General features: G+C 40.5%; 1 long non-coding RNA gene and 1 pseudogene across 1 annotated transcript in view, besides 1 other annotated feature; one reads left to right on the forward strand and one right to left on the reverse strand.

Annotated features, from left to right (window-relative positions):
* LINC02320 (long intergenic non-protein coding RNA 2320) overlaps nt 1–22940 on the reverse strand; it is a 102958-nt gene that overhangs the window by 49036 nt on the left and 30982 nt on the right. The gene's annotated exons all lie outside the window — the stretch shown is intronic.
* Nucleotides 553–1039, forward strand: RPL26P4 (ribosomal protein L26 pseudogene 4; annotated as a pseudogene).
* Nucleotides 11951–12114: a silencer, noted in NCBI's record as "fragment chr14:102155672-102155835 (GRCh37/hg19 assembly coordinates)". NCBI's record gives its function as "represses an EF-1alpha promoter that drives an FKBP-Casp9 reporter gene in an ReSE screen in both phorbol 12-myristate 13-acetate-treated (for megakaryocytic differentiation) and untreated K562 erythroleukemia cells {active_cell/tissue: K562 | K562(+PMA)}" and the evidence as "EXISTENCE:reporter gene assay evidence [ECO:0000049][PMID:32094911]".

Here is a 22940-nt window from a genome sequence, read left to right on the forward strand (position 1 = left end):
AAGACTACTTCAGTTTTCTATTAGTTCAGTCTATGCAGTTCTGCTTGATATTCATGAACATTTCAGCTTTCCAGGAGTCCTGAAAGGTTTTTCTCTATTGTGATGTCACCATCTCCAAAGTTATCAGAAACCTGCATTCAAAAGTGCCTGTTAGAATTTTATAGCTGATTGGGAGCGGGTAAGGATTCGGCGGGCAAGCGGGTGTAATCCACAGCTATCCGTGGTAGGGCATGGTAGCTTCCAACCGCGGGGACCCCAAGAGTCTCCCGTCAGCCGAGTAGCAGCCAGGAAGGAGAGGCTGGGATGGTTTTTTACCTGTTGTCCCTTAAATCAAGGGCCGCCGGGCCGAAGAGGGATAGAGGGACTGGGGATTTGGGGACTCGAAAACGAGCTGAGGGAAGGGAGCCTGTGGAAATAGACTGGAGTCTGGGTAGTGTCGTTTCCTAGAGAATGGTCTCGAAGTAACTTCTCGGTAAAGTCTTCACAGAACTTCCAGACCACACTTGCCCACTGGGAGGCTTTTAGGACCTGAGACGTGTGCAGGCTTTTCCAGCCAAAATGAAGTTTAATCCCTTTGTGACTTCCCACCGAAGCAAGAATCGCAAAAGGCATTTCAATGCACCTTCCCACATTCGAAGGAAGATTACGTCTTCCCCTCTTTCCAAAGAGCTGAGACAGAAGTACAACGTGCAATCCATGCCCATCTGAAAGGATGATGAAGTTCAGGTTGTACAAGGACACTATAAAGGTCAGCAAATTGGCAAAGTAGTCCAGGTTTACAGGAAGAAATATGTTATCTACATTGAACAGGTGCAGCGGGAAAAGGCTAATGGCACAACTGTCCACGCAGGCGTTCACCCCAGCAAGGTGGTTATCACTAGGCTAAAACTGGACAAAGACCGCAAAAAGATCCTTGAACGGAAAGCCAAATCTTGCCAAGTAGGAAAGGAAAAGGGCAAATACAAGGAAGAAACAATTGAGAAGATGCAGGAATAAAGTAATCTTATATACGAGCTTTGATTAAAACTTGAAACAAAGAAAAAAAAAGAATTTTATAGCTGATTATAAAACCACCTTCTAAAGAGGACCAAAATAAGACAATTGTCCACGGATGACAAAAGGTTTTAGGGCACCCATAGTCAAAGACACAATTGACAAGGAAGTTTGTTACCTCTGTGACATAAAATAATGTCACATAACAATTATGATTATTACTGATAATGTACACTGAGTCATATCAGAATTATAGGAGTTTCTCATAATTTTGGAACACATACCAATAACATATTTATACAAATATAAGCCAAAGAAAACCAAACACCATTTCATATTTGACAATACTTCCTGTGTACATTTTATACCAAATAAGCCAAATATGCCATTTTGTACTTTAGGGAATCTAATATCTTAAAGGATTAGTTAGATCAGAAAGAGACATAATTTATAATTTTATTTTGGAAAATGTGCCAAATATCAAAGGCTTAAAACATTTGATATCACTAAATAGGATCACAGGTCATTGTAAAATAAGTGATTCACTTAGAGTGATAACTCAAACATCTCAAAAAAAAAAAAAAAGCAAAAACCTTCATTCTTTGAGAGAGGATACTTAATTTTCCAAACAATAAGCCCTAATAAAGTCAGCATGAAGCCAATTAAATGTTTTTTAAAATTTTATAAGCAATCTATAAAATGTTCATCTGACCATAAGATATAATTTCATAAGCCTTTTATAACCTTTATTAAGGAGTCAGTTAATGCTTCAAGAAAAACTTGTTAATCTGACACAGGGGCCCATTTGCTGGTCTTGCATCAGTGGGCCTTTGACATTAATGTTTAAGTTCAGTTCAGAGAAACGGAACTTATTTTATCTCTCAAAATCAGCCCTTACAATCTCATACACCCACCTTTTCTGCAATAGTTCTGGGCCTTGAGGAGTTGAATAGTTTAGTTTCTGGCCCTGTCTCAGGAACGCAGTTTAATTTGATTGGCACTTTCTACCAGGCCTGAAGATGAGGCTTTAATTGTTGTCAGTGTTTAAGATTTACCAGGACTTGGCCGGGTGCGGTGGCTCACGCCTGTAATCCCAGCACTTTGGGAGGCCAAGGCAGGCGGATCACGAGGTCAGGAGATCAAGACCATCCTGGCTAACTCGGTGAAACCCCGTCTCTACTAAAAATACAAAAAATTAGCCGGGCGTGGTGGTAGGCACCTGTAGTCCCAGCTACTCAGGAGGCTGAGGCAGGAGAATGGCATGAACCTGGGAGGCAGAGCTTGCAGTGAGCAGAGACTGTGCCTACTGCACTCCAGCCTGGGCAACACAGCAAGACTCTGTCTCCAAAAAAAAAGATTTAGCAGGACTTCATGTCCTTTTTGGGCGAAGGAGTCAAAGCCCCACAACTCAATGTCACGAGGACTTTAAAAGCACATACAGAAAGATACACGGATGTAATAACCATAATTTTTTTTAAAAAAATTAATCTCAGTTTTTTTCTAAGCAAATCAAAACTTAATAATAATGGCATAGGAATTATTTTGATAAAACGTAAAAATCTGTTAGGCCAGTTACCAAGAGGCAAAATAAAAGACCTTCTGCAGTGCACTGAATATTATGTTGGAAGAAAACATTTTCTTTAGACCCTTAAGAAAACATTGTTAGCATCAGGCTACAACAAACAGAACCCAATACGAAAAAAACTTACATGAGCTGAAAAATGAGTTGAAGGACAGTGTTATTTTGCACTTTTTAAAAGGGGAGAGGAAACAAAAATGATGAGATGCAATAAAAGTTGAACTTTGGGTTATAATTTTTTTAAATTAAAATATCGGCCTGGCACGGTGGCTCATGCCTGTAATCCCAGCACTTTGGGAGGCCGAGGTGGGCAGATCACTTGAGGTCAGAACTTCAAGACCAGCTTGGCCAATATGGTGAAACCCCATCTCTACTAAAAATACAAAAAAATTAGCCGGGCACTGTGGCATGTGCCTGTAATCCCAGCTACTCAGGAGGCTGAGGCAGGAGAATTGCTTGAACCTGGGAGGCGGAGGTTGCAGTGAGCCAAGCACGCCACTGCACTCCAGCCTGGGCGACAGAGAAAGACTCCATCTCAAAAAAAAAAAAAAATTAAAATATCTTATAATTTATTAAGAGTAAATCAACCCCTTAAGAAAATTTCATTGTTCTAACCAATTATTTAATGTATAAGTGATTTTCTTTACATTAAACCCAATCTCTAGAAAGGTCATTATAATTTCCCTTTAGTTATAGACAACTTGATCATATAAAACTTTTTGGGTTCTTTTCTTGTTTTCTTTTAAAGCTTTTTCGGTATGTTTATTAGTTCATTTAATTAATTCTTTTTTTTATTTAAGTTCTGAGATACATGTGTAGAACGTGCAGGTTTGTCACATAGTATACATGTGCCATGGTGGTTTGCTGCACCTATCAACCCGTCATCTAGGTTTTAAGCCCTGTATGCATTAGGTATTTGTCCTAATGCTCTCCCTCCCCTTGCTCCCCAGCCCCCAACAGGCCCTGGTGTGTGATGTTTTCCTCCCTATGTCCATGTGTTCTCATTGTTCAACTTCCACTTACGAGTGAGAACATGGGGTGTTTGGTTTTTTGTTCCTGTGTTAGTTTGCTGAGAATGACACCTTCCAGCTTTATCCATGACCCTGCAATGGACATGAACTCATTTGAGGGTGTTTTTTTTTTAATAAATCCACTTATTGTGACTCACACAGACCACTCATGACATGTTTGGACTTTCTGATTTATCCTGAACACCCTCTTTTTTTTTTTTTTTTTTTTTTTTGAGACGGAGTCTCGCTCTGTCACCCAGTCTGGAGTGCAGTGGCGGGATCTCGGCTCACTGCAAGCTCCGCCTCCCAGGTTCACGCCATTCTCCTGCCTCAGCCTCCCAAGTAGCTGGGACTACAGGCGCCCGCCACTACGCCCGGCTAATTTTTTGTATTTTTAGTAGAGACGGGGTTTCACCGTTTTTAGCCGGGATGGTCTCGATCTCCTGACCTCGTGATCCGCCCGCCTCGGCCTCCCAAAGTGCTGGGATTACAGGTGTGAGCCACCGCGCCCGGCCAACACCCTCTTTCTTAAACAACCAGTCATTTTATTCTAGGACAAAATTTACCGTACGAGATTCTTTCTCGTATAAAATTATTTCTCTTTAAGCTTTCTTACCAAAAAAATACCTCTTTTTTCTATAACTTTCTTTACATCTCTCTTATTTCCTGGTTCCTTTTACCTTGTTTTATACATAACCTCTAAATAAGCTTTGAATTAGACAAAAACAATTCACCTTTTTAAAAGGACATTTTTTTAGAAAGCATGTTTTCCTACAATATATTTTTACTGGAAAATACCCAAATAATGAAATATCTACTGTTTAATTTAACTTTAGATTCTAAATTATGATTCTAAGTATGCCTATAGGTATTTATCCCATTAAATGTACCTAATTATTTTATTTTAATCATTTACCTAGATTATTTGTGAAAACTGTGAGAGTCGTCATTTAAACTTATGAAACCACTATAACTGAGACAGTGAAAAAGATCTGGCCTAACTTACTCCATCTTGCTTCTAACCTCCAAGCTATCCTTATTTATTCCTGGGCATAGGCCGAACTAACTTTGGGAGGAACTTAGTTTATAGTTTAGGTTTGAAACAAAGATGCTAACTGTCCTTTCCCAAAACAAATCTCCTTTCTGCCTGTGGACTAGGCTGCTAAAGCCACAAGATTAGAAGTTATGGTAATTTTACTAGATAATTCAAGATGACTATTTTCACTAAACCAATAACAATGTCTTATTTATTAAAAATTACACAAGCAAAGATCATTCAGTTTGGGGCTGAGTTTATAGTTTCGTAACCCTGATGCCAAATTTTGACACCTTATAGTATTTGGCAGGGATAAGTACGCAATTGCTTAATCAATAAATGCAAACAAAAATGTATGCTGGAAATTCTTAAGACATTTCTAATATTACTTTACCAATAATTTCAAAGCTAGCTTATTTATTAAAGATTTTACTTAAGTCATGTAAACTTGAAAAAGCATTTGACTAGTATTTCCTTTTTTCTGGTAAAGTATTTGATTTAAGTGCTTTTAGTTTCCTTTAAGCCAATTAATTAGAGCTCTTTTATATATTTTTAGTAGTGAAACGTGTACACAACACATAAATACATAAATGTATTAGGCATACCAATAGAAGTACATCTTATAGATTCCTAAGACCTTTTTTTTTCTTACCTTAGACTTTCAAACTCTTGATAACCTGTTTCATTACCCTGGCAGTTGTCAGGTAAATAGCCCTAAGTCTGCATATTGAAGGAAATAACTCTTAGAAGAAAAATCAAATGGCAAAATTTACATCTCAAGGTACAGAGAGAAAAAATCTGGTGGAGCTAGAGGGAGATTAAAGATGAATGCCAAATCAAACATGAAATTATAGAAATCTATGATAGGATTGTATAAGGAGACCAATTTTATTTAGGTGGGAACTACCTATCTTTTAACTAGATCTCTGAGCTCTGGGCAGAGCCCACACTGAATCCTGGGTCTCCAAAAAGGGAGAGTTGACGCTAGAACACGTGATGCTTTTACAGGACACTTAAAATTTTTTTCAGTCAAAGACATTTCTAAGTGTCTACACTACAGTCTTCCTTAAAAACCCAAGAGTAGCCTCTGTTACAATAGCTATTTTAGTCAAAAAATCAGGTAACACAATACAAAAGCAAGCAGTTTAAGAGCTGAGACAAACTTGTCTGTTTACACTCTTGGGATTCCATAAGGAAAAACAGGGAGCCTGGTGCCTTCCCCATTTTCTTTAAGGAAATCCAGGCTATTATAAACTATTTTAGGTCCCTCATGCAGCAGAACATGCAAGAGAAAGGAGAGACAGCAGAAGTAAATGGAGAAAATAGAATTAAATCAACTGAGAAGAAAAACCTTTGCTCAAAAAAAGACAAGGTCCTAGGAGAGGGAAAAAAACAAAAACATGAAAGCCTCTTAAACGCACACACACACACGCACACATATACACATGCACACACACACACATGCACACATACACACGTGCATACATGCACACATGCACATACAGGCACACGCATACACATACACACATGCACACATACACATACACACATGCACACACACACGCACACACATATACACATGCACACACATACACACATGCACACACATACACACACATGCACACACACACGCACACACATACACATGCACACATACACATGCACACATACAAACACACATGCATACATATACACATGCACACATACACATGCACACATACACACACACATGCATACATACACACACATCTTGGATGTTATCTTCAATTAAGCTGACTTTTAACCACTGAGCTCCTATTAAAAAAATCTTTTTAAACCTCATTACCATATTTTAGCTAGGACAAATTGCTGCTATTTCAGAAGTACAAGTATCAAACCAGAAAGGGCTTGATTTAGGAACCAAACCCAGGCTGTCATAGTGGAAAAAAAGAAGGCAGAACCTTAGCTATGAAACTGCAGCATGGGGCGACAGCCATCGCTCTTTCAGTTTGGACTGGCTAGCAAAAACATAGCCCTGTTGTGTAAATAAATAAAGCCCCTTAAGTGGCCAAAATAAAAAATCTTTCCTTTTTTTTTTTTTTTTTCCTTGTGCTGGCTATTTTTCTCTCCCCACCACATCACCTTTTGTGTGTGGGGGTGGGGGGTGGAATTTAGCCAGTTCAGAGGACCTGTTCCCCATAATTTGGAACTTTCCTTCAGATTTGATCAAGGAAAAACACCAAAACAAAAACAAAAACAAACAATAAAAAAAATTAAGTGAAACAAATAATCACACAATGTGTGTGATTACTGAGTGCTCAAATGGTAAGGAGAAATTAAGACCAGCTGGTTGTTAATCTTAACTTTAGCCAAAACAAACCTCCATTCAGTTACTTAGATAGGGATGGGTCTCAGGCGAAGACTGCTCTCTACCATCCTAGAAGCAGGAAAAAACTCAAAACTCATCTTCCCTGTTGGGAGTGAGTTCAAACTCCATAAAAAAGTTGCCTGCCTTCCATCGTGATGGAAGCAGGAAAAACTTGCCTTCCTTGTGCTGGAAGCAAGTAAAACTCCACAAAAGGAGTCGTACAGCAAAATAAAATTTAGATCTCGACCAAATTTTGGGAGATCAGGGATTTTCCGGAGGGGTTGCTTCCAGGCCTCAGCAAATTGTTCCATTGGTTTGAGCCATAAAGATAGCTCAAGCTGGTACCAAGCACGAATTGGAGATGTGTCAAACGTCAGGGGCACCTCCACTCAGAATCCCTTCGTGGTTACCAAAATGTGAACCCAGAATATCTGAGACAGGTCTCAGTTGATTTAGAAAGTTTACTCTGCCAGGGTTGAGGATGCACGCCTGTGACACAGCCTCAGGAGGTCCTGATGACATATGCCCAAGGTGGTCGGGGCACAGCTTGGTTTTACATATTTTAGGGAGACATGAGACATAAATCAATATATGTAGGATGTACATTGGTTCCATTCAGAAAGTCAGGACAACTCGAAGCAGGGAGGGGGCTTCCAGGTCACAGTTAGATGAGAGACAAACAGTTGCATTCTTTTTTTTTTTTTTTTTTTTAATTGAGACAGAGTCTCACTCTGTCGCCCAGGCTGGGGTGCAGTGGCGCAATCGCGGCTCACTGCAAGCTCCGCCCGCCGGGTTCACGCCACTCTCCTGCCTCAGCCTCTCCGAGTAGCTGGGACTACAGGCGCCCGCCACCACGCCCGGCTAATTTTTTGTATTTTTAGTAGAGACAGGGTTTCACCATGGTCTCTATCTCCTGACCTTGTGATCCGCCCGCCTCCGCCTCCCAAAGTGCTGGAATTACAAGCCTGAGCCACCGCGCCCAGCCGACGGTTGCATTCTTTTGAGTTTCTGATGAGCCTCTCCAAAGGAGGCAATCAGATATGCATTTATCTCAGTGAGCAGAGGGATGACTTCGAATAGAATGGGAGGCAGGTTTACCCTAAGCAGTTCCCAGCTTGACTTTTCCCTTTAGCTTAGTGATTTGGGGGCCCAAGATTTATTTTCCTTTTACAGAGTGAAGATATAATCTACAGAATGGGAGAATATATTTGCAAACCATACGTGTGGTAAGGGATTAAGATCCAAAATATATAAGAAACTCAACTCAATAGTAAGAAAACAACCTGATATGAAAATGGACAAAGGGCCTCAATAGACATTTCACAAAAGAAGACATACAAATGGCCAACAGGTGTATGAAAAAATGCTCAACATCACTAAACATCAGGAAAATGCAAATTAAAACCACAGTGAGATATCCCCTCACACCTGTTAGAATGGCTCTTATCGAAAATACAAAAGATAAATGTTGGCAAGGATGTGGAGAAAAGAGAAATCTTGTACACTGTTGTACAAGGTACAATATACAAGAATGTACATTTGGTACAACCATTATGGAAAACAGCATGGAAGTTCCTCAAAAAATTAAAAATAGAATTTCCATATGATCCAGCAATCCCAACATTGAGTATAAATCCAAAGGATATGAAATCAGTATGTCAAAGAGATATCTGCACTCCCATGTTCTACAGTATTACAAGAATCAAGTTAGGAATCAACCTAAGTGTCCATTGATAGATGAACAAATAAAATACAGTATGTGTACACAATGAAATATTATTCAGCTTTAAAAAGAATAAAATCCTGTCATTTGCAACAATGTGGATAAACTGAGAGGACATCACATTAAGTAAAATAAGCCAGGCACAGAAAGAAAAATACGTAATCTCACTTGTATATAGAGTGTAAAAAAGTCAAACTTATAGAAGCAGAGAGTAAAATAGCGGTTCCCAGATGCTGGAGGTTGGGGGATTGGGAAGATATTGGTCGCAGGACACAAAATTTCAGTGAAATAAGAGGAATAAGTTCAAGAGATCTATTGTACATCATGGTGACTACAGTTGATAACAATGTGTTATATACTTGCAAATCCCTAAGACAGTTGATTTTAAGTGTTCTCACCACACACAAAAAAAATGATAAGTATGTGGCATGATGCATATGTTCAATAATTTGATTTAGCCATTCCATAGTGTGTCACAACATCAGGTTGTACACCACAAATATATACAATTTCTACTTGTCAATTAAAAAATAAATAAAATATATTGACACAGGAAATATGTACTTAAGTTCCTTAAAAGTCTTTTTTTTTTCTTTTTTTGGAGATGGAGTCTCACTGTGTCACCCAGGCTGGAGTGCAGTGGCGCAATCTCGGCTCACTGCAACCTCTGCTTCCCATGTTCAAGCAATTCTCCTGCCTCAGCCTGCCAAGTAGCTGGGACTACAGGCACATGTCGCCACACCCGGCTAATTTTTTTGTATTTTAAGTAGAAACGGCGTTTCACTGTGTTGCCCAGGCTGGTCTCGAACTCCTGAGCTTAGGCAATCCACCCGCCTCAGCCTCCCAAAGTGCTAGGATTACAGGCATGAGCCACCGCATCCAACCTAAAAGTTTTAATTTATGCTACATTATTCAAAATAATAATATTTTCAAAACAAAAGAAAAAAATGTGTGCAAAATGTTTAAAGGAATAAAGGCCACTGTTACAACTAACAGAGATCACTGGGAAAATATCAATAAAAGGACCCATGAAAAGACTACAAGCAACAATTCCTCAGGTCCAGTGAGCACCATAAGCATCTGATCTTAAAGACCGAATCCTTCCAGCCAGTAGCTCTTTAGAGAAGTGGCTGATTCGAGGTGCAGGACAGGGGGTGCCCAACATAGGTCAGGGCATCTGTGCTAAAATCAAGGAAGAAGCCAAAGACTGGTTCTTGCCAAAAAGACATGGAAGCTGGCCGGGCATGGTGGCTCATGCCTGTAATCCCAGCACTTTGGGAGGCCGAGGCGGGTGGATCACCTGAGGTCAGGAGTTCAAGACCAGCCTGGTCAACATGGTGAAACCTCATCTCTACTAAAAATACAAAAATTAGCCGGGTGTGGTAGCATGCACCTGTAATCCCAGCTACTAGAGGGGCTAAGAGGCAGGAGAATCGCTGGAACCCAGGAGGTGGAGGTTGCAGTGAGCCAAGATCGCACCATTGCACTCCAGCCTGGTTAAAAGAGTGAGACTCTGTCTCAAAAAAAAAGACACAGAAGCCAGCTTGACACCACATTTGATGACAATTTGCATAAAGCAAAGTTCATCCGTAGTGGCATTCATAAAAAGAGAAAGAAAAAAACGGTGAGGAGCTTTTTGTGAAAGAATGCCAGTTAATTCACCTAGAAGTCACGGATTTAGAAAATCACAATTTTGCAACCACCAGTATAACAACTGATTCAGGTGAAGGTCATTAGTGAATAACAGCACCAGGTAAAATATGGTTGGATGGAGCAGAATCATCACTGCCCCACCTACTTGCCTCAGACTCTCCACTCACTATGCCCCAGGTGACTTCCCATTGCCATTTCAGCATCTCCACCCTGAGGGCATTTTGCCCACACATAGGGGAAGCGGAAGTGCCGGGCTATTAACAACCCTCTGAAACAGCTTGCGCCAATGACTGATGAAAGTTGGTGCATAAATATTTCGGCTCCCTTGGCCCTCCTCCAAGTGAGATAACTCTAAGGTGTGTGTGTTACACAACTTCCCAGCATCTCCCAACAGTGTTAAGCTCTGGTTTCCCTGTGGTGGCTGGCTTAATGACACAACTTTGATTGGCTGTATCCCCTTCCAGGTATCACTTCTTCACCCAAATAAACATCCTGCTCTCAAATTTTCATCTCAGGATCAACTTTGGGAAGGATGCAATCTACAACCTTGGTGTCAGTGACAGAGCAGAAGCACTGCCATCTTGGACAAACGCCACCATTTTAAATTCCAGCTCCCTTTCTAACCTCATGCATTTCAAGGAAATCACTTCTTTTCTAACAACAAGCAGCCAGAAAGAGCAGACGGTAAAACACAGATAAGACAGCTCAGGCAGGGAGAGAGAGGGGAAAGTCTCTTGGGTAACCACCAAGCTTCACACCCATACAATGGGACCCAGCAAAACAGTGGGTCCAAATAAGCACATTCCTTTCTTTTCAGGTGCACTAAGATAGGGAAGCTAAAAGTAAACTCGGGGGTATGCCTGCAGGTGCAGGAAGATGTATGGGAACAGACACAAAACTCTCCCTCCCAGATAAGCAAGACAAAGAGACACAGGACATTTCAAGCCTGTGATAAGCTCTCCCACCCTGAACCCTTAAATACTCTTAGTCTGTAAGAGAGACTGCTCCCAACCTAACTCGGCCAGAAGGCCCTCTCAGGTTTACTCTCTGAAATAAACCTGTCTTTGACTACTCAGCCACTTTTCATGTTTCTTTCTTCTTCAATTCTTACAGCCAGGAGTAGGAGGCAGATCCTCTAGTGGGACCCTGGAATGAGACCACTAGCCACAGGGCCGCTGGTGTTGAGAGGTGACAACGTGCTAGCAGCCGTCGCTTGCTCTAGGTGCCTCCTGGGCCTCGGCATCCACTCTGGCCATGCTCCAGGAGCTCTTCAGCCCGCCACTGCACTGTGGGGGCCCCTCTCTGGGCTGGCCGAGGCCGGAGCCGGCTCCCTCTGCTTGCCAGGAGGTGTGGAGGGAGAGGCACAGGCGGGAACCAGGGCTGCGCGCCGAGCTCGCGGGCCAGCACGAGTTCCAGGTGGGCGGGGCTCAGCAGGCCCCGCACTGGGAGTGGCCAGCCCACACCACCTGCCTGGGCAGTGAGGGGCTTAGCACCTGGGCCAGCAGCTGCGGAGGGTGCACCAGGTCCCCCAGCACTGCCAGCCTGCCCATGCTGTGCTCCAATTCACACCGGGCCTCAGCCGCCTCCCCACGGGGCAGGGCTCAGGACCTGCAGCCGGCCATGCCCAAGCCCCACCCCTCACCCCTGTGGGCTCCCCAGCGGCCCGAGCCACCTCAACGGTGCCACCTCCTGCTCCGGGGTGCCCGCCTGGTCCCATCGACTGCCCAAGGGATAAGGAGTGTGGGCCACAGTGCGGGACTGGCGGGCATCTCCGCCCACAGCTCTGGCGCAGGATCCACTAGGTGAAGCCAGCTGGGCTCCTGAGTGGGGTGGGGACTTGGAGAACTTTTATGTCTGGATGGAGGATTGTAAATGCACCAATCAGCACTCTGTGTCTAGCTCAGGGTTTGTGGATACGCCAATCAGCACTCTGTATCTAGCTAATCTGGTGGGGACTTGGAGAACTTTTATGTCTAGCTGGAGGATTGTAAATGCACCAATCAGCACCCTGTGTCTAGCTCAAGGTTTATAAACACACCAATCAGTGCTCTGTGTCTAGTTAATCTAGTGTGGACTTGGAGAACTTTTAGGTCTAGCTAGAGGATTGTAAATACACCAATCAGCACTCTGTCTAGCTCAGGGATTGTAAATGCACTGATTAGCAACCTGTCAAAACGGACCAATCAGCGCTCTATAAAGAGGACCAGTCAGTGCTCTATAAAACGGACCAATCAGCTCTCTGTAAAATGGACCAATCAGCAGGATGTGGGTGGGGTCAGATAAGGGAATAAAAGCAGGCTGCCCAAGACAGCAGCGCAACCTGTTCGGGTCCCATTCCACAGCGTGGAGGATTTGTTCTTTCACTCTTTGCAATACATCTTGCTGCTCGTTCTTCGGGTCCACAATGCCTTTAGGAGCTGTAACACTCACGTGAAGGTCTGCAGCTTCACTCCTGAGGCCAGCAAGACCACGAACCCACCAGGAGGAATGGACGACTCCAGACGCGCCACCTTAAGAGCTGTAACACTCACCATGAAGGTCTGCAACTTCACTCCTGAAGCCAGCAAGACCACGAACCCACCAGAAAGAAAAAACTCTGAACACATCCAAACATCAGAAGGAACAAACTCCGGACACACCATCTTTAAGAACTGTAACACTCACGGCGAGGGTCCACAGCTTCATTCTTGAAGTCAGTGAGACTAATAACCCACCAATTCTGGACACAGTGTGAGTGGGGTTGTCATCACCCTATGGGGCATGTCACAGCATTGCCATCACAAGCTGTCACATATGCTGAACTGGGAGAAGATACAGGGAAAAAAGGTTGTACCTTCCTGTATTAGTCAGTTCTTGCACTGCTATAAAGAAAGACCGGGTAATTTATAAAGAAAAGAGGTTTAATTGGCTCATGGTTCCACAGGCTGTACAGGAAGCATGGCTGGGGAAGTGAAGGGGAAGCAGGCACATCTTCACATGGTTGGAGCAGGAGGAAGAGAACGAAGGGGCAGGTGTTACCCACTTTTAGACAACCAAATCTCCTGAGGACTCACTCACTATCACAAGAACAGCAAGGGGGAAATCCACCCTGTGATCCAATTACCTCCCACCGAACCCCTCTGCCAACAATAGGGAGTACAATTCAACATGAGATTTGGGCGGGGACACAAATCCAAACCCTATCCATTCCCATTTGTGAAATGTCCGTAGCATGTGAAAGATGCCGAGGGAATGGGGAGTTTTAAGTGCGGTGGAGGTGTCTGTGTGCTGTGAAGTGCCTGAGATGTGAGGCAGGGGAGAAAATGATGGCTCAAGTCAACCAACCACTAACACATGGAATGACGTAAGAGGCAGAGGCCTCTATGAAAACGCAGAAAGTGACCTCTTCTCCTGTCGATGGAGGGCAAGACCTAATGCTGAGGGGGATAGAATTACAGAGAAGCCCAACCTCATATCCCTGGCAAATCTCTGCCACCTGCAAGGCTCTGCCAGGGGAGATGTGGGACCCTAAAACCAGGGAAAGAGACATCGGATGGGTGCATTTGGGAAATTTGAACACCCAGAGTCCCCCGTATCCTCCAGTCCTGTGGAAATCATGCACACCGCTTGTTAAAGGGTAGCTGCCTCCTTTCACCTAAAGCCCATTCCTGAGGCAAATGCTTTGCACGATGGTTCTTGCCTTCCTCAAGATCTGCACAGCTTCCTCCCCTAACAGCTTCTAGGACAATAAATAAGGTAAAGTCTCAACTTGGCCCATCTTAGATTGGCCCAGGAATCAGGTCAACTGTGGCAAAAAGCAAAACCAGCGAGATACGAGTGGTCATGGGAGTCTGAGATAATAAAATCCAAGACTAAGGGCCTCAAAAAGGCTGGATCCTGCAGCTTCACAATTGAGAGGCTAAATAATTCACCAAATTTAGAAAAGCAAAGTGGAATATCCTTCAACCTCATGGTGCTTAGGTGACAAAGACCTACTGGAGAAGGCCCCAGAGGACGAGTGAGAGTTGAAAACCTCCAGGAGTATAAGCCGACACTAACAAGCTGCAACCACTTTCTCCTGGGAGCACTTGCCAATCTGGGTGCAACTAAGGGCTAATAAAGACGCTTCTAGACAAAAAAGAAACCTAAGGGAATCTGTTGTCAGTACGGTCTGCATTAAAAGAAATAATAGAGTTCCTCAGATCGATGGAAATGATGCAAACCAAAACAACATGGAAACTCAGGCAGGAATGAAGAGCACTAGATAGAATGATTGTATGATCAAATCTACATGAATATTGACTGTGCCAGGCAAAACTAGAAATATTGTGTCGGGTTTAAAATCCATGCAGAAAGAAAATACGTTACAATAATAAAGCAAAAAGTGGGGAGGAATCATGGAGTTAAAAATATTGTGATGGATTGGCATTATTGGTGAAACGAAAGAGTAAACATCTGTACTAGATCACAAGTCAAGAATACGCACTGTGGCCAGTTGCAGTGGCTCACGCACTTTCGGAGGCCGAGGCGGGTGGATCACCTGAGGTCAGGAGTTCAAGACCAGCCTGACCAACATGGTGAAACCCCATCTCTACTAAAAATACAAAAAATTAGCTGGGCGTGGTGGCGGGCACCTGTAATCCCAGCTACTCGGGAAGCTGGGGCAGGAGAATCACTTGAACCCGAGAGGCAGAGGTTGCAGTGAGCTGAGATCGCACCATTGCACCATTGTCGCCTGGGTGACAAGATCAAGACTCTGTCTCAAAAAATATATATATGTGCTGTAATCTCTAGGGTAACTTTTAAAAGGCTAGTAAGAGAATATATAACTTACAAGCAAATAGAAGGAAAAATAGAATAATTGTAAAAATTGAAAAAAAGCCAGAGAGGAGAAAAAAGAACATAAAACAAGTGAGTAAAATACAAAATGAATAATCGTATCATAGATATAAACCTAACTATATTAGTAATCACAAGAAAAATATTAAGATTGTCAGACGTGATAAAGAAACAACCCAAACATACATTATGTAGAAGAGACACAGCCGAGCGCTATGGCCTGTAATCCCAGCAACTCAGGAGGTTGAGGTGAGAGGATAGCTTGAGGCCAGGAGTTTGAGACAAGCCTGGGCAACACTGCAAGACTCCATCTCTACAAAAAAAATTTCAGCCAGGTGTGGTGGCTCACACCTGTAATCCCAACACTTTGGGAGGCCAAGATGGGTGGATCACCTGAAGTCAGGAGTTTGAGACCAGCCTGGCCAATATGGTGAAACCCCACCTCTACTAAAAATACAAAAAATTAGCCAGGCGTGGCGGCGAGTGCCTGTAATCCCAGCTACTCGGGAGGCTGGGGCAGGAGAATCGCTTGAACCCAACAGGCGGAGGTTGCAGTGAGCCGAGATCGCACCATTGCACCATCATCGCCTAGGCGACAAGAGTGAGACTCCGTTTCAAAAAAAAAAAACAAGTGCTGTAATCTCTAGGGTAACTTTTAAAAGGCTAATAAGAGAATATATAACTTACAAGCAAATAGAAGGAAAAATAGAATAATTGTAAAAATTGGGAAAAAGCCAGAGAGGAGAAAAAAGAACATAAAACTGGTGAGTGAAATACAAAATGAATAATCATATCATAGATACAAACCTAAGTATATTAGTAATTACAAGAAAAAAATATTGTCAGACGTGATAAAGAAACATCCCAAACATACATTATGTAGAAGAGACACAGCCAAGAGCTACGGCCTGTAATCCCAGCAATTCAGGAGGCTGAGGCAAGAGGATAGCTTGAGGCCAGGAGTTTGAGACAAGCCTGGGCAACATAGCAAGACTCCATCTCTACAAAAAAACTTTCGGCCAGGCGCAGTGGCTCACACCTGTAATCCCAACACTTTGGGAGGCCGAGTGGGTGGATCACCTGAGGTCAGGAGTTCAAGACCAGCCTGGCCAACATGGTGAAACCCTGTTCCTACCAAAAATTCAAAAAATTAGCCAGACGTGGTGACACATGCCTGTAGTCCCAGCTACTCAGGAGGCTGAGGCAGGAGAATTGTTTGAACCCGGAAGGCAGAGGTTGCAGTGAGCCGAGATCAAGCCACTGTACTCCAGCCTGGGTGACAGAGCAAAACTCCATCTCAAAAGAAAAATTTTTTTCAATAATCTGGACATGGTGATACGTGCCTATAGTCCCAGTTTCTTGGAAGGCTGAGGTGGGAGGATTGCTTGAGTCCAGGAGTTTGAGGTTGCAGTGAGCTATGATTCTGCCCCTGCACTCCAGCCTGGGTGACAGAGCAAGGCCCTGTCTCTAAAAAAATAAGATGTACAACTTTAATGTAAATTTAAGATCACAAACAAGTTGAAAAAAAGGGGTGAGAAAAGGCCTAGTAGGCAAACACAAAATGGAAAGAGCAGGTACAACTATGCTAATACCAGATAAGATTTAAGGCAAGAACCATTACTAGAGGAAAAGAAGGACTTTTCACCAAAACAAAGAGGTCAATCCACCAAGAATATATCAACATCCTAAATCTAGAGGCCCTAAAGAACACAATTTGGAATAAGTGAAACAAAAATTGGCATAATTAGCAGGAAAAATAGACAAATTCATTATCAGAATATAAGATTTTAAAACTGCTGTAACGGCCAGGCGCAGTGGCTCACACCTGTAATCCCAGCACTTCAGGAGGCCGAGGCAAGTGGATCACTTGAGGTCAGGAGTTCAAGATCAGCCTGGGCAATGTGGTGAATCCCTGTCTACTAAAAATACAAAAAATTAGCTGGGCGTGGTAGCACATGCCTGTAGTCCAGCTACTCGGGAGGCTGAAGCACAAGAATTGCTCAAACCTGGGAGGTGGAGGCTGCAGTGAGCCAAGATCATGCCACTGCACTCTAGCCTGGGTGACAGAGCAAGATCCTGTCTCAAAAAAAAAAAACTGCTATAACTACCAAAACAAACCAAAAAATAAGTAAAGATATGAGAGCTAAGCAACAAATCAGCAAGCTTGACTTACATGACATGTATATGAAACTCTGCATGTTAGCCCTACTACCTAGGCACTGAACAGATGTCTATCTGCTGAAGGATGAATAAATAGTGTTCTACTTGCACAATGCAATAGTATTCAGCAATGAGAACCAACAAAATGCAACTACACACAATATGGACAAATCTCAAACCAATGGTATTGAGAGAAGAAGACAGAAGAGTACGTACAAAATTATTCTATTTATGAAAAGTTCAAACAGACAAAATTATTATATAATAATCTGTAGTGTTAGACATCTATAGAGAGATCACCCTTTGGGAGGTTTAAAAACCATAAGATGGCTTAAGTGGGGCCCCTGGTGGTTTGGTAATTATTATCTTTCTTGATCTGCATGCTGGTTACAGAAGTGTGTCTATTTAATAAAATCCATCAAACTGTACACCTGTATCTTGTGTAGCTTTATACATGTAACACTTGAACAAAAACTTTTTTAGATGGAGATGCTCTATATAATCCCTAGAATACTTCTTTGTAAAGAGTAATGGCTTCAAGAGAGGTGGCCTAATGTGATGGTTAGGAGCACACACTTCAGAGCTAGCATCTGTATTTGGAAACCTATATTCTGCCTGTCTAGCCATGTCACTATGGAAGATCTGAAACTCTGATTTCTTTCATCTCACAGCTTTTTACTACCTCAAACGTTGTTCAAAGATTAGGGTAAGTGATCTGAATGATACCATGCACATATTTGTTTATGTTAAAAGATAATTCTTTCTGCAACAAGTTTTGGATATTCCCAATAGGAAAAAGGGGAGGGAGGCTGGCAGGCATAGTGGCTCATGTCTGTAATCTCAGCACTTTGGGAGGCCGAGGTGGACATCAATGAACATCTAGGAAAACATGACATTACCAAATGAACTAAATAAGACACCAATGACCAATTCTAGAGTAACAGACATATATGACAGAGAATTAAAAATAGTTGTTTTGAGGAAACACAACAAAAGTCAAGATAACACAGAGAAGGAATTCAGAATCCTATCATAAATGTAACCAACAAATTGAAATAATTTTTAAAAATCAAGCAGAAATCCTGAAGCTGAAAAATTCAACTGACATACTGCAGAGTGCATCAGAGTCTCTCAAGAGCAGAATTGATCAAGCAGGAAGAATTAGTGAGCTTGAAGACAGGCTGTTTGAAAATAGTCAGAGGAGACAAAAGAAAAAAGAATAAAAAAGAATGAAGCATGCTTACAAGATGTAGAAGATAGCCTCAAAACGGAAAATCTAAGTTATTGACCTTAAAGAGGAAGTAGAGAGATTAGGATAGAAAGTTTACTCAAAGGGATAATAATAAAGAACTTTCCCAATCTACTGTAATATATCCATAGTCAAGTACAAGAAGGTTATAGAACACCAGGCCAATTTAGCCAAAATAAGACTACTTCAAGACATTTAATAATCAAACTCCCAAATGTGAAGGATAATGAAAGGATCCTAAAAGCAGCAAGAGAAAAGAAACAAATAACATACAAAGGAGCTCCAATACATCTGGTAGCAGACTTCCCAGTGGAAAACTTACAGGCCAGGAGAGAGTGGCATGACATATTTAAAGTGCTGAAGAAACTTTTATCTTGGATAGTAAATCCAGCAAAAATATCCTTCAAACATCAAGAAGAAATACTTTCCCAGGCAAACAAAAGCCAAGGGATGTCATCAATACCAGACCTGTCCTACAAGAAATGTTAAGGGGAGTTCTTCAATCTGAAAGAAGAGGACATTAACAATAAGAAATTATCTGAAGGTACAAAACTTATTGGTAATATTCTTAATATTGTACACAAACACACAGTATTATAACACTGTAATTATGGTATGTAAACTACTCATATCTTGAGTAGAAAGACAAAAAGATGAACCTATCAAAAATAATAACTACAACAACTTTTTAAGATACAGACAGTATAATAAAATATAAATAGAAAAAAAGTTTAAACGTAGGGGGGATGAAGTTAAAGTGTAGTTTTTATTCATTTTCTCTTTGCCTATTTGTTAGTTTGTTTTTGCAATTAGTGTTGTCATCAGTTTAAAATAACGGCTTTTAAGATGTTTTTTGCAAGCCTTATGGTAATCTCAAATCAAAACACCTACAACAGATACACAAAAATCAAGAAATTAAAACATACCACCAGAGAAAATCACCTTCACAAAAAGGAAGACAGGAAGGAAGAGAAGACCCCAAAACAACCAGAAAACAAGTAACAAAATGGCAGTAATAAGTCCTTACTTATCCATAACACCATTGAATGTAAATGGGCTAAACTCGTTAATCAAAACACACAGAGTAGCTGAATGGATTTTATAAAAACAAGACCCAATGATCTGTTGCCTACAAGAAACACACATAAGGACACATATAGACTGAAAATAAAGGGATGGAAAAAGATGTTCCATGCAAATGGAAACCAAAAAAAGGGTAGCAGTAGCTATACTTCTATCAGATTAAATAATATCAAGACAAAAATCTATAAAAAGAGATGAAGTTTACTATATAATGATAGGGGCAATGCAGCATGAGGATATAACAGTTGCAAATATATATACACCCCACACTGGAGCCTCAAGATATATAAAGCAAATATTATTAGATCTAAAGAGAGAGATAGACCCCAATACAATAATAGCTGGAGACTTTAATGCCCCACTTTCAGCATTGGACAGATCATCCAGAGAGAAAATCAACAAACAAACATCAGACTTAATCTGCACCATAGAACAGAAGAACCTAACAGATATTTACAGAACATATCATCCAATAGCTCCAGAATACACACTCTTCTCCTCAGCACATGGATCATGCTCAATGATAGACCATATGTTAGGTTACAAAACAAATCTTTAAAATTTCAAAGAAACTGAAATTATATCAAGTATATTCTCTGCCCACAATGGAACAAAACTAGAAATCAATAACAAGAGAAACTTTGGAAACTGTACAAACACATGGAAATTAAACAATATGTTCTTGAATGACCAGCAGGTCAATGAAGAAATTAAGATGAAAATTTAAAATTTTCTTGAAGAAATGACAATAGAAACACAACATACCAAAACCTATGGGATACAGCCAAAACAATACTCAAAGGAGGGTTTACAGCAATAAGCACCTACATCAAAAAAGCAGAAAAATTTCAAATAAACAACCTAATATTGCATCTTAAAGAACTGCAAAAGCAAGAGCAAACAAACCCAAAATTAGTAGAAGAAAGAAAGAATAAAAATCAGAGCAGAAATAAATGAAATTGAAATAAAAAATGTACAAAAGATCAATAAAACAAAAAGTTGGCTTTTTGAAAAGATAAACAAAACCAACAAACCCTTAACCAGACTAAGAAAAAAAGAAAGATGACCCAAATAAATAAAATCAGAGATGAAAAAGGAGACATTACACCTGATACCGCAGAAATTCAAAGGATGATTAGAGACTACTATGATCAACTATATGCCAATAAATTGAAAAACCTAGAAGAAATGGATAAGTTCCTAGACACATACAATCTACAAAGATTGAGCCATGAAGAAATCCAAAATGTGAATAGATCAATAACAAGTAATGAGATCAAAGCCGTAATAATAAAAAAAAAATCTCCGAGCAAAGCAAAACCCAGGACCCAATGGCTTCACTGCTAAATCTTACCAAACATTTAAAGAAGAACTAATACCAATCCTACTCAAAGTATTCCAAAAAACAGAGGAAGAGAGAATACTTCCAAACTCATTCTATGAGGCCAGTATTACCCTGATATGAAAACCAGACAAAGACACATGAAAAAAAGAAAATTACAGGCCAATATCCCCAATGAACATTGATGCGAAAATACTCAACACAATACCAGCAAACAAATTCAGCAGCACATTAAAAAGATCATTCATCATGACCAAGTGGGATTTATCCCAAGACTGCATGCATGGAACAACATACACAGGTCAATCGATGTGATAGATCATATCAGCATAATAAAGGAGAAAAACCATATGATCATTTCAACTGATGCTGAAAAAGCATTTGATAAAATTCCATATCCTTTCATGATTTGAAAAAAAAAACTCAAAAACTGGGTATAAAAGGCACATGCCTCAACACAATAAAAAGCATGGCTTTCATGTTGAGATATGTTCCTTCTATACCCAGTTTTTGCATCCTTCAACTTTCATATATAATATATATGTATATATATATATATATATATATATATATATATATATATATATATATATAAGTTGATCATACTAATATCATAGTGAATGCGGAAAAATGAAAGCCTTTTCTCTAAGATCTGGAACAAGACAAGGATGCCCACTTTCATCGCTGTTATTCAACATAGTACTGGAAGTCCTAGCTAGAGTAATCAGACAAAAGAAAGAAATAAAAGGCATTCAAAATGGAAAGGAAGAAGTGAAATTATTTTTATTTGCAGATAATATGATCTTATACTTGAAAAAAACGAAAGACTCCACCAAAAGGCTATTAGAACTGATAAACAAATTTAGTAAAGTTGCAGAATACAAAATCAACATACAAAAATCAGTAGCATTTTTATATGCTAACAGCAAACAATCTGAAAAAGAAATCAAGAAAGTAATCCCATTTACAATAGCTACAAATTAAACAAAATACCTAGGAATAAACTTAACCAAGGAAGTGAAAAATCTTTACAATAAAAACTTTTATGCAAGATATTGAAGAGGACACCAAAAAATGGAAAGATATTCCATGTTCATGGATTAGAAGAATCAATATTATTAAAATGTCCATGCTACCCAAAGCAATCTACAGATTCAGTGCAATCTCTATTAAAGTACTAATGAAATTCCTCACAGAAATAGAAAAAAAATCCTAAAATTTATATGGGACCACAAAAGGCCCAGAACAGTCAGAACCATCATGAGGAAAAAAAAAAAAAAAAAAAAACTGGAGGAATCCCATTACCTGATTTTAAATTATACTACAGAGCTATAGCAATGAAGTAACAAAAACAGGATGGTACTGACATAAAAACAGACACATAGACCAATGGAACAGAATAGAGAACCCAGAAATAAATCCATACAGCCACAGTGAACTCATTTTCAACAAAGCTTTCAAGAACATGTATTGAGAAAGGGATTGTCTCGTCAGTAAATTGTGCTGGGAAAACTGGATGTTCATATGCAGAAGAATGAAACCAGATCGCTCTCTCACCATACACAAAAATCAAATCAAAATGGATTAAAGACTTAAATCTAAAACCTGAAACTATGAAACTACTAAAAGAAAACATAGGAGAAACTCTCCAGGACATTGGTACGAACAAAGATTTCTTGAGTAATACTTCACAGGCACAGGCAACCGAAGCAAAAAATGGACAAATGGAATCACATTTTAAAAAATCACATCATTAAAAAGCTTCTGCATAGCAAAGGAAACTAGCAACAAAGTGAAGAGACAATCCACAGAATGAGAGAAAATATTTGCAAACTATCCATCTGACAAGGGATTAATAACCAGAATATATAAGGAGCTCAAACAATTCAATAGGAAAAAAAATCTAACAATTTGATTTAAAATGGGCAAAAGATTGAATAGACATTT

The sequence above is a fragment of the Homo sapiens genome, chromosome 14 (genome assembly GCF_000001405.40).
Source record: "Homo sapiens chromosome 14, GRCh38.p14 Primary Assembly".
Lineage (NCBI taxonomy): Eukaryota > Metazoa > Chordata > Mammalia > Primates > Hominidae > Homo > Homo sapiens.